The 16,613-nt window shown below is 36.9% G+C and overlaps 1 long non-coding RNA gene across 1 annotated transcript in view, besides 2 other annotated features; it reads right to left on the reverse strand.

Annotated features, from left to right (window-relative positions):
* The window catches only part of LOC107985483 (uncharacterized), a 33,489-nt gene that overhangs the window by 4,663 nt on the left and 12,213 nt on the right, over positions 1-16,613 (reverse strand). The window contains exons 2-3 of the long non-coding RNA XR_001755094.2: positions 12,577-13,980; positions 5,975-6,099 (exon numbers count right to left, since the gene is read on the reverse strand). This is a non-coding gene — a long non-coding RNA (uncharacterized LOC107985483). The remainder of the gene's footprint in view (positions 1-5,974; positions 6,100-12,576; positions 13,981-16,613) is intronic.
* Positions 11,434-11,950: an enhancer, noted in NCBI's record as "H3K27ac hESC enhancer chr21:16493536-16494052 (GRCh37/hg19 assembly coordinates)". NCBI's record gives its function as "activates a minimal SCP1, AML or CMV promoter by ChIP-STARR-seq in naive H9 embryonic stem cells {active_cell/tissue: H9 hESC(naive)}" and the evidence as "EXISTENCE:reporter gene assay evidence [ECO:0000049][PMID:30033119]".
* Positions 12,527-12,821: a silencer, noted in NCBI's record as "tiled region #10595; K562 Repressive non-DNase unmatched - State 24:Quies". NCBI's record gives its function as "represses a minimal TATA promoter and a strong SV40 promoter by Sharpr-MPRA in K562 cells {active_cell/tissue: K562}" and the evidence as "EXISTENCE:reporter gene assay evidence [ECO:0000049][PMID:27701403]".

The raw sequence follows: 16,613 nt of genomic DNA on the forward strand, positions 1-16,613 counted from the left end.
AATATGCTCAATCCTTAGAGGGTTCAGGTGAAATAAACATGGCAATACAGTCTTGATAGGTATTTTAATTGAGACTAATCTTTGAAGAAAGCCATTCGGACTCTTAAAAGAAAGATTTTTTTTTTTTTTTTTTTTTTTTTGAGATGGTGTGTTACTGTGTCACCCAGGCTGGAGTGCAGTGGCGCAATCTCTGCTCACTGGAGCCCCCATCTCCTGGGCTCAAATGATTCTCCTGCCTCAGCCTCCTGAGTAGCTGGGACCACAGGTGTGTGCCACCACACCTGGCTAATTTTTGAATTTTCAGTAGAGATGGGGTTTTACCATATTGGCCAGGCTGGTCTCGAACTCCTGACCTTGAGCGATCTGCCTGCCTTGGTCATCCAAAGTGCTGGGCTTACAGGTGTGAGCCACCGCACCCAGCCTCTTAAAAGTTTTATATATCCTTGGAACCAATAAGCCCACTTCTAGGGATCTCTGCTAAAATATTCACTAGAGATGTAGACAAAAAGTTACATACAGGATTATTCTTTGCTGCATTATTTATGAGATAGAAAAATGGAAATGATCTGAAGAGGAATTTAATAAATTAATAAATTTCTTTGCAGGCATTAAAATTAAATATTGAGGGAATATTTAACAACATCAGAAAATACTCATGTTGTAATAAAAAATGGGAATGCAGAAGACCCGCAACAGTTCTTACCCTGTTTAAATCAGACTGTCGAATCCTGGCTTTTTTCTGTTCCTTCTCCCTTCCTGCATCTGTTAGTATTTTTGCAATAAACTGTTTGCATGTGGGAAAATGGGGGATTGTTTTGGAAATTTACATCCTGGGCTCCAAATCTAATGGAGACTTATGATTAATTTCTAATAATTAGAACAAAATACATTGAATACCAAATACCTGTAAATCTAAAAACTAGAAAGAACAGCAGTTAATGTTTTATCAGCTATATAACCCAATTATTACTGTGCTAGTTAGAAGAGATTTCCACTGGTAAAGTAATAAATTAGCCAGTTTTATTGTACTAGGGTCAACATCATATTGTATATAAAGCTGCATTATTCCTGCATTTCCTGCATGTTGCCTTGAAAATCATGGTGTATCTGTAATTGTTATAGCTCACGTACTTCCTGGACACAGTTTTCTCACATTAGAAAGTCTTTTTAGCTTTCTGGATCTCTGTCTTCTTAACTGTGAAATGAACATAAGTGGCTTGTCATCCTCCAATGGCTATTTATGTGTTTGTTGAGTTCATAAGATGTAAGTTTTTAATAATATATTAAAAATTTGAAGCATATGACCTCTAAGGACCTTTCAAGATATATTTTTTGACTGTGAGACTTCATGGCATATAATTTGTCTCCTGCTGTATTGCATATCCTTTTGTAATTGGTGACATGTCTTCTGCTGAACTCCCTCCAGGTTGTTTTAGTGAGCAAAAATGCTTGTGGATAAAATGAGATCCTATCAGGCTGGCAAAGTTTTAAGAGTTTGAGAGCGTTCAGTGTTGCAAAGCATGTGAGGAAACAGGCATTGTCAAATACTGTTGGTGGGAATGGAAATTGGTTCAACTCTTTTGGAAGGCAATTAGGTAATAATATACCGAAATTTAAAATGCATATAGCCTCTCTTTAGCCATTCTACTGCTGAAAATATCCCACAATTATACTTGTAATGTGAACAGATTTATGTATAAGGATGTTCTTTGTAACATTCTTTATAATAGAGAAAAATAATTGCAACTTAAAATGGATACTAGATGCATAAACTGTGGTGTGGCCATGTAATGGAAAACTATTTAGTCATTCAAAAGAAATAATTAGGTCTGTATGTACTGAAATGGAAAGATGTCTAAGATATTATGGTAAGTGAAAATAACAAATTGAAGAACAATTTGTACGGAGTGAGCTTGAGTGAAAAGCAATGCGTGTTCACCTAGATCCGAATAGAAAAAGATGGACTCCTTTTACATCTTTCTTACACTGTTTTCTCAGTCTATGTCTGAGAGAATCATGGAGCCTCAGATGATAATTCTACACACTGCTATGATGAAATACAATACAAAACAAAAACGTTTCTCCAGAGACCATTAAAAAATGTAAGGTAGAGTCTACATTGCTCTAGAAAACCGTGAAGGTATGAATAAGTTTTCGTTGACAGTTGGGAAGCAAAGCAGTGATATGAATACCTACTATATAGGTATTTCTGTATAGTATACCTATATTTCTACCTACATTTCTATATAGGTATACCTACTATATAGGTATTTCTATATAACATAGAAAGAATTGGAGGTATAGCCCATCTGAATATATACAGATTCCATTTGTTAGGAAGTCGATATAGAAAAATCCAGAATTTCTTACTATAATTTAAGAGATGATTGACCTCCAAAAAGCTTCACCACAGTATCAACTCTATGCTTCATATATTTTCTTTAATTCATAAGCAGTACATTTTATTCGTGGCATAATCACTTCTTCCTATATTCCAAATGCTTTCTTTTCTTTGTTTCCTATCATTTTACATATAATATGCAAATACTCTAAAATTGAAATATAGCTTGGCAGTTTGTAATACTGTAAAACCATAAAGTGTAATATATGACTACAAAATATTTTGGTTTAATGGGCCTGGTGTTCTACTATATATTTATTTTAAGTCACTCTTAAAATGTCAAATAAAACTCAAAAATCTGTTTTAGTTCCAAATGTAGAGCTATTAATTTTATGGCTTAATATCTGATTAAATTTAACTATGCTTCTAAGAGCATATAGGTTCCACTCATTAGATGGGCTGACTGTTTAATCCCATCATTTTAAGTGGAATTGAACCCCATCTTGCCAAATATGCTAATATCCTGAGGGAGGGAGAGAGGGAAGAATGGAACAACAGAAGATGTTTGAAGGCACTGTGAATTTATGTTCTTCACTTGGGAGGCTAACCAAAACATTTCAATACCTCCAGTATTCACATTCTGGAGTAGAGAATATAAAAGTCAAAAGAGAAATGTTTTCAGTGATTTCTGTGGTATCAATAAACCTATATAAATGTGAATAGACTTAAATAAATAGTTAAAACAGAATGTCTGGGTACCCAGGTATATAGGCTGCCAGCTGGGCCCTGAGGCTGTATCACTTCTATTTCCCAATTGCTAGCTTTTGAGGTAACAGCACTCTTCATCTGAGAAGAAGGGCACTGACAACCGTACTCTCATGATTCTCAAGAATCCTGCTGACTTGTTCATTAAACAGAACTGGCAACTGACTCCTAAGATAAAAATTCTTGACAGCTTTCCAAGCAGAAGGAAGGATGCTGAGTGACACATATAAATATATAAGTGAGAAGGAAGGGTGAGCTCCAATGGCAGTGACGTTTTCCGGAGCAGTTTATGGAAGAGGTAATCGTTGTAAGACACTACATTGCATTCTGGAGAATTTGTTCACCACTGAGCAACAGGTGAGACCTCCCTACCAGAATATCCAAAATGAATTTTAGATATCATTTAAAACTTTTGAAAATAGTGTGGTCTTAGAAATGGCTCACTCTACTGGACTACTTGCATATGTTCTTTTTTTTAGTTCAACTACTAGCTTCATCTGTACTACAGAGACTTTGGGAAAATTTCTTGAAGACCCTTTTTTAATGGGAATAACCACTTCCATTATTTTATCTCTGGGTATTCTGTGAGTATCTGTTGTCTCAATAAGTATTTCTATATCGTGTATGTTATGTATATTAAAAAAAACCCTTGAGTTCTTCAGATGAAATCTATAATGCAAATAAATGACATTCAAAATTTAGCTATTCTAAAGATATTAACTTCTAAGGTAATGGTAACTTTAACTAAGGTTAAACGTAACTTCTAAGCAGTGACTACCATTTTTCTATTTTTTTCAGAATAAATTCATCTCAAAATCTACATTACAATAAATTATCTCAATAATCCATTTTCCTATTTTTGATTCAATTACATAATTAAAAAACATTTTAGTTAGACATTTGAAGAGAGAAAAAATATTGTAATAAACCCTATGTCTTCTCAGGTTTTAAAAAATCAATATGAATTGTTAGTATTAAAAATGTTTGGAATGCGTACTTTGAAATAAAATTTTTGAAAAAAGTATTGACATGTAATGTTTAAAAGTCAAACTTTCTGTGGAAGTAACATTAACATCCATAATCAATCATTAATACTATGATAGTGAGCCTTATTTTTATTTAACAACATTTAATCGTTGTTGTCTGCCACCAAATTCTGCATTTTAGCTCTTTTCACTAAACATTACTATGTTTTTAATAAAAGCATTATAGTTTGGTTACTAGTAATTGTCATAATTTTATTATCTTTCCAATAGGTATATATCATATGTAAAAAAAAACATGTCTTTGAAATAATCTCATTTCTGAAAGATAATTTAAAATGATTTCTAATTGCTTTTGCAAATTCAAATGTTTTCAATAAAAGTTTTCATTAAAATACGTTAATAAAAGATTTTTCTTGTATAACTTAAAAAAGGAGCAATAATTATGTTGTATGTTTCAACTCCTTTTGACAATGGTTCTCATAAACTCTTCCATGTTTCTCTAAGTATAGAAAATAACTGGCTTAATAAATTAAATTTTAAATGATCCTAATGGAGCATTTACATAACCTTAAAATGACTATAACAGAGCCAAAAAGTAATTAAAACTTCATAAATGCAGAGTGACATCATCCAATCGGCAATTTACATTTGTGTAGTTCAAAGTAAGAGGACCTGGGAAAGCCCTAATTCACATGGGGAGAGCAAATAGAATAGAAAAAAAAGAAGACAGCTTTAGGGAAAAAAATAACATCAGTGGATAAGGTTAGAGGAATAGCTTTAAGAATAATTTCTCCTTAAGACAGAAAGAATATGAGAAATATGATGTTTATAAAATATTTATGACAGAAGTAATTTTCTTTTAATATTAACAATAAAAATTATAAACTGAGACAGATATCACCATATCAAAACTGTAACAACTCATTTAATATACATGAGAGCAAATTGTTTTCATCAAGTCTCACATTAAGGTGTAAAATATTTTTCTAAAAATATATTTTACTCTTTGGGTGGCCAAGATTGGTGGCACTTGATGTCAGGAGTTCAAAACCAGCCTGGCCAACAAGGTGAAACCCTGTCTCTATTAAAAACACAAAAATTAGCTGGGCATGGTGGTGCACACCTGTAATCCTAGCTACTTGGGAGGCTGAGGTGGGAGAATCACTGGAACCCAGGAGGTAGAAGTTGCAGTGAGCCGAGATGATGCCACTACACTCTAGCCTGGGCGACAGAGTGAGTGAGACTCCATCTCAAATATATATATATATTTATGTGTGTGTGTGTGTGTGTGTACGAAATAATAAAATATATATTTTAGAAAAAGTTGCAAACAGTGGAACATTTTTACTTTCTTTAATAACTGATTGCCAAAAAAGAAGGGATAGAAAGGGAAGTAGGAAAAAGATCAAGGGAGGAAGGGAGGGAGGAAGGAAGCGGGGAAGCAGGAAGAAAGGGAGGGAGGAAAGGTGGAAGGAGAGTGGAAGAGAACCACATAACTCAATAAAAGGCAATATGTGTACTGTCTATGTTTTTGTCTTACTAAATCTCATACTGTTGATGACAAACCATCTTTAGCCATATACACAATCTCCTAGCGGGCTCCAGCTCAATGACTTCAAAGTCAGCATACTCCTAAACCAGCTCCTCACCCCTCCTGCTCCCTCCTTGCCCTTCTCTATTGTCTATTGCAAGCATCATTTTCCAGATCTAGTAACCCAAATACGTAGGTGCACTTCCTGACACCCATCTTCGCTTCAAACAATACTTTCTATAGGTTCAAAGTGATGATGGCCTCATCACCCCCCAGTGTCAAATGTCATGCTGCTAAGTTCTCTGTCGAAAAGTAATTTGGTCATGCCAATGTCTGATTTAGAAAACTTACTATAAGCAGAGATTAGGTGTCTCCTTTCACACACTTGACTTGGAGAAATTGGCAAAAACTCTTCCTCTCCCTCAATTCCATGGCTTGCTCATGACCAAAACCTTCCCCCAGGCTTTTAAATATACCTGTAGGAGCAGAGAGATAATTACTCTTAAAATAGCCTTGCTTTTCCCTTACACCGTGGACATTCACTATTCTTGTTTATGAACCTACTTCTTGCTTCTCTTTATCTTGTTGGGTCTTCCCTGTGTTTCATTTCTCTGTTTCTGATCTCCTTCCTAAATAAGAACTCCCAATTCTTCTCCTATATTTCAGAGTAATTCAGCTAAACCTCTCTCCTGTCTCTTGTACAACAAAGCCCATGCAATGTGTGCAATAAAGCCCATCAAGGCACAAAGTGGCTCTCCATTTGATTTGCTCCTCTGTCTATAGAAAGCAGATGTAGTCATAAAGAAGAGAACATTCATGAACTTAAAAATAAATACTATAAAAATAAACAATGGCAATGATTCCTATCAGATAAAACCCAGACTCCTTAGTTTGTTCTGTAAAAATATACTTTTTGGCCGGGCACAGTGGCTCATGCCTGTAATCCTAGCACTTTGAGAGGCCAAGACGGGCGGATCACCTGAGGTCGGGAGTTCGAGACCAGCCTGACCAACATGGTAAAACTCTGTCTCTACTAAAAATACAAAATTAGCTGGGCATGGTGGCACATGCCTGTAATCTCAGCTACTTGGGAGGCTGAGGCAGGAGAATCGTTTGAAGCTGGGAGGTGAAGATTGCGGTAAGCCGAGATCGTGACACTGCACTCCAGCCTGGGCAACAAGAGCGAAACTCTGTCTAAAAAAAAAAAAAAGACTCCTCACCACTTTTGCCATGTGTGGTTACAGCAAAAAGATGGTTGTTTCACCAGACACGGAATCTGCTGGTGTCTTGAGCTTGGACTCTCCAGTCTCCTGAATTGTGATCAATGAATTTCTGTTGTTTGTAAGCTGTCCAGTGTATTGTATTTTGCTATAGCAGTGTAAACAGGCTTACAGACCAAGATATGTGACATAACCCCAGATTTAGTTTCTAGAATCTCAGTCTCTTGAAAAAAAACATTCAATTTTTTATTCAAATGTTTTATTCTTTCTGTGGAAGAATTATATGCTATCTTGGAGGTCATCTTCTTCAGAGCTTCTCAACCTCTTTATATCTTGTAACACACCTGAAGGTTGACACGTTTGTGCCACATACGTTCTCTGGCTGTTGCAGCTCATGATAAAAGATATAACCTAGGGGTCTGGCGATGCACTTTGTGCCAGAATTGGAATGCCATACTCTGCCCTGAGTCATGCCAGATGGAACTGACGGTTGCTGCTCTGGTCTAATCCCCCAATTTTACTGAAAGAGAACTGAGACAAAAGAGGTTAGCTGACTTGGCTTCTGTCATCCAGCTCATTAGAAAGTAGCAAAACTTGATATAGAACTGAAGTGTTTTGAGATGTAAGCTTCTAGATAAGGCAGTGAGACCTGTGATGGGTGTCAAGAAAACCCTTGCCTCCACTGTTTTAGGTGATTGCACTTAGTCACTTACACGTTCTGAATTAAAACCTCTCTACTTCTGTGGTGCTGTCTTCACATGAAAACTGTCTTGGGTGAATTTAGCCTATAAAAAGTAGAATTCATGAAAACATATTTTTCCCAGACATGATGTGAAATTAAGGCTTTGATACTTTTTTTATTTTTACTTTGTAATTAGTTGTTTCAGATTTACATAGACTTAAGGCAAGACGCTGTGAACCAGAAACTTCAAAGAACATAGGAGAATATTAGCTATCTTTGGTGTTAAGGCAGCTGTGTTTGTGGCAGTGACTTTCAGCTGAGAGGATAGATACTAGGCTAGTGCCCTGAAATAAACACGGAAAATAGGCTGGGCACAGTGGCTCACACCTGTAATCCCAGCACTTTGGGAGGCTGAGGCAGGAGGACCACTTGAGGCCTAGACTTTGAGACCATCCTGGACAACATAGAGAGACCCTGTCTCTACACAGGGTCTAATTTAAAAATTAGCCAGGTTTGGTGTTACGCACCTGTGGTCCTAGGTATTTGGGAGGCTGAGGCGGGAAGATCGCTTAATCCTGGGAGGTTGAGGCTACAATGAGCCATGATTGCACTATTGTGCTCCAGCCTGGGCAACAGACTGAGATCCTGTCTCTAAAATAATAATAATAATAATATACAAACAAAAAACAAAAACTAACAAACTGCATAGAAAGTAGTTGGGGCTCCAGCTATAAAGGCAAACTTGTGGATCACAAATAATTATTTAAAGGAGATCTGTTTGTTCACAAAAGAAGTATAGTAATGCTATAATAGCTCAGGAACAGTTGAGTGTCTCTGCACTACTCCCTGTAGACAGTGGGGATGTTGTACAAAACAAAGGTTTATAATCAGACTTTTTGCAGATCAATCAACCTAGCACTAGGGTATCTTCTCCTAGCTAGAAGATGAAAGCAGGAACAAGCCATAAGCATGGTGAAAATTTACTCATTTATTTCAACAAAACACTGTAATATTTTAATGAGACATTGAAAATAAGACATACAACCTTAAAAATAAAGGCAGAAAAATATTTTTAGTTGATGCTCATGGGTTGAATTTTTAGGTCACAATAGACGAGCTGGTAGAAAGAATTGCTTGCTTTAAACGGAATAGTTTAACAAAAAATGGCTAGGCACAGTGGCTCATGCCTATAATTCCAGCACTTTGGGAGGCCAAGGTGGGCAAATCCATTGAGCCCAGGAGTTTAACCCCATCTCTACAAAAAATATGAAAATTAGCCAGCATGGTGGCGTGTGCCTATAGCCCCAGTTACTCGGGAGGCTAAGATGGGAGGATTACTTGAGCCTGGGAAGTAAAGCCTGGAGCGAGCCATGATTGCGCCACTGCACTCCAGCCTGGGTGAAAGAGCAAGACCCTGTCTAAAAAAAAAATGAATGCTTGGGAGGCCGACGTGGGTGGATCATGGGGTCAGGAGTTTGAGACCAGCCTGAGCAACATGGTGAAATCCTGTCTCTACTAAAAATACAAAAATCAGCTGGGCATGGTGGTGCGCACCTGTAATCCCAGCTACTCAGGAGGCTGAGGCAGGAGAATCACTTGAACTCAGGAGGCGGAGGTTGAAGTTAGCCGAGATTGCACCACTGCACTCCAGCCTGGGCAACAGAGCGAGACTCCGTCTCAAAAAAAAAAAAAAAAAAAAATGGATGCACACCTTTGTATCAGCACCAACTTGCAAATATGATTAAAACAAAACAAAACACTGTTAGAAATCACTGGCTCGGTTGAGAAATAGATTTCTGAGTTGTCATAGGCATGAAACCAATACTGTGCCAGTGAATAGATCTACCCCCAAACAACCTTGGTGAACTGAGCAAGATCAAGGCCAGACTGTAGTCTCTTGAAGCATTGATGATAAGCACACTACGGTTAAAGGGCACGATTACCCTCGGAATCATAATGCAGGTACATACACTGAATGTAAGAATAATGTGATTGAAACTAATTTAGGACTGTGCCAAGCAGGAAGAGAAAGTCCTTTGGGCATTCAAAAAGAACATTTAGACAAAGCAAAACAAGAAGGAGAATTTGTGGTTTGCAGGAAGCTGTTGCTCATTTATATTTTATCAAAGATTTAAAATGTTGGGCAAAAGAGTGTGGCTGTAGCAAGCAGAAAGAAATTTGGAATGTATGTGGTTTATAACTGAAATAATCAACTAGAAGAAACAATAAGCATCAGGAGGATTTTTTTTTAAAGTGTTCTCTTTCGTTTCCTAAAATTATGTATTTTGGAAACTCAGATGGGTTAGAAATATCAACAGAGATTTCTCGGGTATCTCATTATGATGTCTCACATGACTTACACTCTTCTATGTTAATCAAGTGAATCTCTTCCAATTATACAGATTGCTATGAAAAATCATGAGACATCACATTTTACTAAGTGGGAAATACTATTGATCTAACAAGATCCGTTGAATAATGAAAGGGGTCCATTTTTATATGTTACTCCCTCTAGCAAGGTTGAATAAATATGCCAGTGAAACATGGAAGAATGGATTTTTATAGTTTCAGATACTTACATAGTTTTAGATATATACATAGTTTTAGACAATTTGTTAGTAGGCTCAGAAATAATGTTTTAATTGCCTATATCCCCATAGTACAGTGCTAGACAATGTTTAGGATATGTTTAACAAATTATTAATTCTTTTTAGGAGCTTAAAATAAGGGGCTAATGACAATGATACAGACAAATGCATGAAAATGTTGTAAACCACAAATAAAATAATGTTCAAATATAAGTACTTTTGGTCCATTACAAATGTGGAAGATATATACTTATAATGAGAGGATAGAAAGAAAATACCTTAACTCTTATTATGAAGTAAGTTCTCGATGCTAACATAATATATTGAAAAATTCTTAAATATATATGACAAGTGAATCTATCTATCTATCTGTCTATCTATCTATCTATCTATCTATCTATCATCTATCTATCTATCCATCCATCCAATGGGAGAAGATGTAAAGTGAAATAGCCATAGGAAGAGGGGAGTAAGCATAAATGGAATTGTTGTACATCAGCAGACATGACTGTGATTCATTCAGAGGGTATTCAAGAAGAAGGGAGAAAATGGTTATAGTATGGCATTAAAAATATTATAATGGAATACTTTGCAATTGAGTGAGAGAATCTAACATATGAATTATAGGGCAAATTAAAAAAATTATATGGCCTCAAAAAAATCTGGCATACACAAAATGACAGGTGAAAAAGATAACTTTGGCAGAAGAACTGAACACTTACAGGAAATAAATGCTGTAACTTGGGATTCTAGGGAGATTCATATCCAAACAGGGAATGAGGATTACACATAAACCATCATAAGACAAAATTCACAGTTTAACAAGTCAAATTGTAATGTTACATTGAAATAATACATTGCAATAATACATTGCCTTACTTCCAATTATATCCTCCAAGTTAGTATGATTTGGTCATGAAAATGACAAAAAATAAACAGACAATGAAACAACAAATTCACTTGTTGGACCACCTTAATGATCAAATTAAGCAATAATACACAAATTCTTTTGTACAGCTATCACTCAACAAATATTAATTGGCTACTCTTTGCTATACATCAGAACAAATAGTTACCATACAAAATACCAGTTGAACACAGAGTACTTTAAAAAATTATTCTGCACAAATATTGCAAAAATCCATCGAAGTGTTGAAAGGAAGGCAAGTCAGATTCAAAAAATGTCATGAGTGAAAAAAACAGATTTAATTGGGAACTGTAAATAGAAATTGAAAAACAACCAAGCGTCATGAGGAGTTTTATTTGGGAGCTTCATTATTTATGTGTTCTTTGCCGACATGTAGAATTTGGAGGTGGTAAAAGTTAAAGACAGAGGAAAAATTTCTGTGTAATAGGAGTTGGTCATGCAACTTGTCTCACAGCCAGATGCAAGTGCAGGTCTGAGGTGAATAGAGAAATTGACCTATGGGATATGTGCATTCATTCAACTTTTTTTTTGAGTCCATGCTATTTTGCAAACACTCTCTAGGCAATGGGGTTCTAACATGAGTGAAGCATGGCCTCTGCAGTCAGTGAGGCAGCCATGCAGTAAACAGCTAAGTGGCAAGGCAATGGGGGTAGCCCCATGGAAAGCGGAAGCCCAATGGAATGAGGGGTGGAAGGGCCTCGAAAGCACATGAGATGAGAGGCAGAGACTAAATGAGGAAAGAGGCTCAGAAGCCAAGAAGAGAGAGTTGTATAATTGGTTATCAGCCGTGTCAAATTCTGTACATAGGTCAAGGAGCATCAAGATGGAGAAGTGCCATTGCGTTTTGGCAGTGAGTATGTTACTGGAGACCTTGGCAAGGCTGGCTTCTGGGAAGTGGCGTGGGTTAGAGCAGGACTGGATCAGGTTCAGGAGCGTTTTCACTGAGGAACTGAATGCATCTGGTGCACTCTAGGAGTTGGGAGAGGAATGGTGGGGAAACAGTTGTTAGAGGGTGTAGGGATTTCTTGAGACCCAGGGATATCTGAGACTCAGCAGGATCCAAATACAGACTTTTTAGCTCTATTTTGTGAAAAACAGAGCTTTTCCCAGCAGCAAGGAAACAGCATTTACATCTTGAAGCAGGCTTTGTTGAGCTTGTTTGTTCTATCTGGCAATGAGTCACTGTAACACTGACCCTGCCATTGAAGTCAGCAGATTCTATTTGGAGAGCTTTGTGATTGTGGGGGGAAGTTGTTTAAAAAGTTAACAAAAACATCTACTCTCCCTGATCTGCTAAACACCTGTGTGCATTAGTTTTGATGACTATTAGCTCAAGAGCATGGGAATGCTATTTTTGAGTAAAAAAAGGGAAGCCTCATCAGAAGAAGTTAAATGTACATGACACAGGAAAAAGTTATAATATTTTCTATTTTGGTTTCTACTCATTTGAAAAGAGTTTTAAAGAGAAAAGTGTAATAGTTCTGCCGACCGCCAACCTCAATTAAAATGCTAAGTACAAGTTGCAGTTTCCCTACCTCTGCCAGAGGGAATATGTCCAAAGTGACCAGCCACCTGTTTCCTTTTGTAAGAGCTCAAGACTGCGGCCCCGTCCAGCATACTCCTCACTGACACTAAATATCAGTGTGATGATGAATCAAAAGTCAACAGCAGCAGAGCTTTATTTACCAAGAAATGACACTTAGTAAGGTCATCTCTTTTGGAGAGGACATTGCAATCATTTAAGTTGATAAAGATATTGGTGATTTATCAACCTCAAATAAGGCATGAGGAACATGCCTGTTAAGGGGTACCCAACTTGGCTGTTTCCAACTTGCTTAAATATATATGCCCACAGGCTGGCTGATGTTTGAGATGTTTGAGGGATAGTAATAGCACATGGTCTGTGATGGCTTAGCTAGGCACAGTGAAGGTCATAGAACTAGAAACTTAAGAATCAATTATGAAACAGGTTAAAGTTGCAGTCTATAAGAGAGTGGCTTTGGAGGCAGTAAGACTTGGGTTTTAATGATAGCTGTGCCATTTACTAGCTGTGGGACATCAGTCAAATAACTTAAATTTCAAAGGCTCTGTTTTCTCATCTATAATATAAAATAGAAATAATAGTAGTGCCTCAGGGCTGTTTTAAGGATTAAATGATAGCACGTGGAGCATAACCCAGGACCAGGCATACAGTAAACGCTTCATAAAATGATAGCTATTATATATCTTAAATCAAGCATCCTCAATTCCTTGTTGATAAGAAAAATAACAAACCACTAGCATTTGGTTAAAACCATGAGAGCTAATGTGAAAATGGATGTATTAAACAGCTTGCCATAAAAATGCTACATTTTTTCAAACAATTGAGATATGTCTAAAAGAAAAGAAGTGAGCACCATAAAATTGAACCTAATCTAAAGGGATTGAAGCAACAGCATTTTAAACAGCAAATAGAACCCACAAAGAAAATCCAAAAGTTATAAAAGTTTTATTCACTTTTACAATTTAATAAGATTCTGATTTTACTAACATTAAAAAATAAAATCATCTCTATTAAATGTAAAATTAGCTTTATTATACATATAAAGAGTCTCACTGCTGTTGTTCAAATTAATAGTAAAAAATTATTCCAAATAAGTTCTATGGGACATATTAGCAATAGTCAGATAATAATCAGTGCCCTTCTCTCCACATATAAAATGCCCTACTTCATTTTTAGAATAACTTGATGGCTGAAGCTCTTCACCACATTATCTCTTTTATAGTTCCTAGTTCACCATTTAGTATGGAGGCCCTAGAGCCCTCTCTTCCATCAGTTCCAGGCTTTCTGCCAGTTCTCAGATTCCATGTTTAATCAGAATCCCGGGCTCTCCAACCCCAGTCCGTATTATCCATTTTTCCAATTCTTAGGGGAAATTTGCCACTTTGAAACATGTTATCTGCAAATAGAACCCAGAAACAAAGACCTTAAAGTTATAAAGAAAACATTGGTAATGTTTCAAGGAATGAATGACAAATAACGAAAGCCCTTTGAATCTCAGCAAACACTGGGCTTCAGTTACACCCTTAAGGAGAACCCATAAATTCATCCTGCTGTCCCCCAAATGGACTTGCTGAGGAAAAAATGGACTTTTTTTTTTTTTTAACCACATATAAGCTCTATTTTTCTAGATAAGAAAGAAAACTGCAAAGGCAAGGTAGCGTGGTGAACTTCCCACTCACTGGCGCAGCTTGATGGAAATTCAATTTGACAAAGCCTTTCTTAGCCAAACCACCCCAAAGTGGCCTCTCCCTCCACTCGTTTGTTACTTACCATTGTTTTGCCATTTGTGTTCATGCATCCTCAGATGCATGAACGGAGGGTAAGCTGGGTAAACAGAGGTAAGACGGTAACAGAGGGTAAGCCTCCACTAGAGCTACATCTTATGAAGACTTTCTCTCCCTTTCTCCCTTACCTCAGAGTCTAAGCCAGATCTCACTCTTCCTAAAAGTCCAGAAGTTCAGGAGACAGGGAAGAAGGAGGGGGAAGGGAATTTGGGGTTCTTCTTCTTGCCTTTGTCAACCTCCTGTAAGTCACTCAGCCTCACTTGCAGTTATTCTTTTGTATAATGGAGATAATTATAGATACCGGTTTGAGAAGTACTTTGATATCCTCAGATAAAAGAGGCTCTAAAAGGGCAGAGGATAATTATTATTAGCAGCTCAATGGTTCATAGGTTTTTCCATATGCAGCTTTCTCCAGGGAAGCTAAATCCGTCAAAATAAAACCAGTTTGAGAGAAAAGGTACAATAGAAACTATTTAAACAAGGAAAATGACTTCAAAAAGATGAGCCAGATGAAACATAAAAGTGAAATAAAAAATTAAAGTGATGACATGCTTCTAAAAAAATCTCTGCAGTCTTGTCATGAATGAACCTAACATCACACAAAAGTGGTGCTGGTAATAACGGCATCTTGCATTTGTATAATGTCTTTCCCAATAACTTTACAACTCTTTTGTGACATAAAGTGATACTTAGTAAATCTTCAAATTGCTATCACGCTCGTTTTTAGGTGAGATCATTGAAGGCTGAGCCACCCCACTCTTCTGCAATGAACAGTGAGAATTGGAATCCAGTTTTCCCAGTTCTTCAACACAGAAGAAAGACATTGGAGTATCTTCCACCTCATGGAAACTATAGAGAATTTCCTTGTTGGAATCTGGTCAGCTAAAGCATGCAGCTGGGGTTTTCAGCATTTGTTCTGATTTTTGTCTTACTAAGTAAGATACTTGTCTTTAGCAAGTATTGAAAAAACAATTATGTATGAAGGGCCTCCCAGGCAGCTAATCCTTGCTAAGAGAATAAAAGATAGGGAATAGAAACACAAGTATTATATCAGTCTCCAACCACAAGAAGATTATGGTGTAGTTGAGAAGATAAGACATACACACAAAATAATTAGTGGTCAAAATATTATTTTATGCTTTAGTATTAAATGCTATCTTCTCTGAAGAGCTTTCCATAATTATGCTAATGAAAAGTAATCTTTCTTTTTTTTTTTTAATTCCTGTAGTACTACTAGAACTATGTTTCTTATAGAATTTATAAGAGGCATATATCATGTCACATCTTCTCTTTGGTATCAGAGTTTGAGCTCATCAAAAGTAGAAATCATGTTTTATTTTATCTTGGATTTCATTCGGTGCTTTACATTGTTTTGGACATAAAGGAAGGGCTCAGCAATATTTGTTGAAATGACATAGTGATATAATAATTTCAAAATACAGGCAATTAACATATAAGGACAATATGTGCAATAACATTATTGAGCATGTTTTCACTGATAATTCAAACCCATTAGGCTCTAAACAATTAGGAAATAATCACTCCAATCCTGATATTCTTTTAGTGCCCTGGTAGCGTTTACAAATTAGATTATAGTTGAAAAGTTCTTTACAATTATTTTTTGCTATTCTTCAAAACCATTTGAGTGGCTGGGCACAGTGGCTCACGCCTGTAATCCCAGCACTTTGGGAGGCAGAGGTGGGCGGATCACCCGAGGTCTGGAGTTCGAGACCAGCCTGGGCAACATGGTGAACTCCATCTCTACTAAACATGTGAATATTAACAGGGCGTGGTATCTCATGGCTGTAGTCCCAGCTACTCGGGAGGCTGAGGCAGGAGAATTGCTTGAACCTAGGAGGCGGAAGTTGTAGCGAGCTGAGATCGTACCACTGCACTCTCGCCTGGGTGATAGAGAGAGACTCTGTCTCAAACAATAATAACAACCACCACCCACAATTTTGTTTTCCTTCCTCAAGAAACATAAAAAATAAAGTAAGAAACTTGCATGACCATCCTACCCTCAGGAATTTCTTGTCATCTTTGCAGCCCCTAACTTCTTACTTTAGGTTTTCTTTGGGGCTCCAGGTAAAGAAAACAGTTAATCTAGAAGTGCTGAGACCTGGATAATGGAGCCAGCTGCCACAGAGGTAAGGGGAGAGAGAGGAGACGCTAGGAGAGGGGATTTAGGAATTCCAGAATGTACTTGGGAAGGACAGCCTTGTATCCCACTTAATTTCTTCTGCAG

This window comes from Homo sapiens, chromosome 21 (genome assembly GCF_000001405.40).
Source record: "Homo sapiens chromosome 21, GRCh38.p14 Primary Assembly".
NCBI lineage: Eukaryota > Metazoa > Chordata > Mammalia > Primates > Hominidae > Homo > Homo sapiens.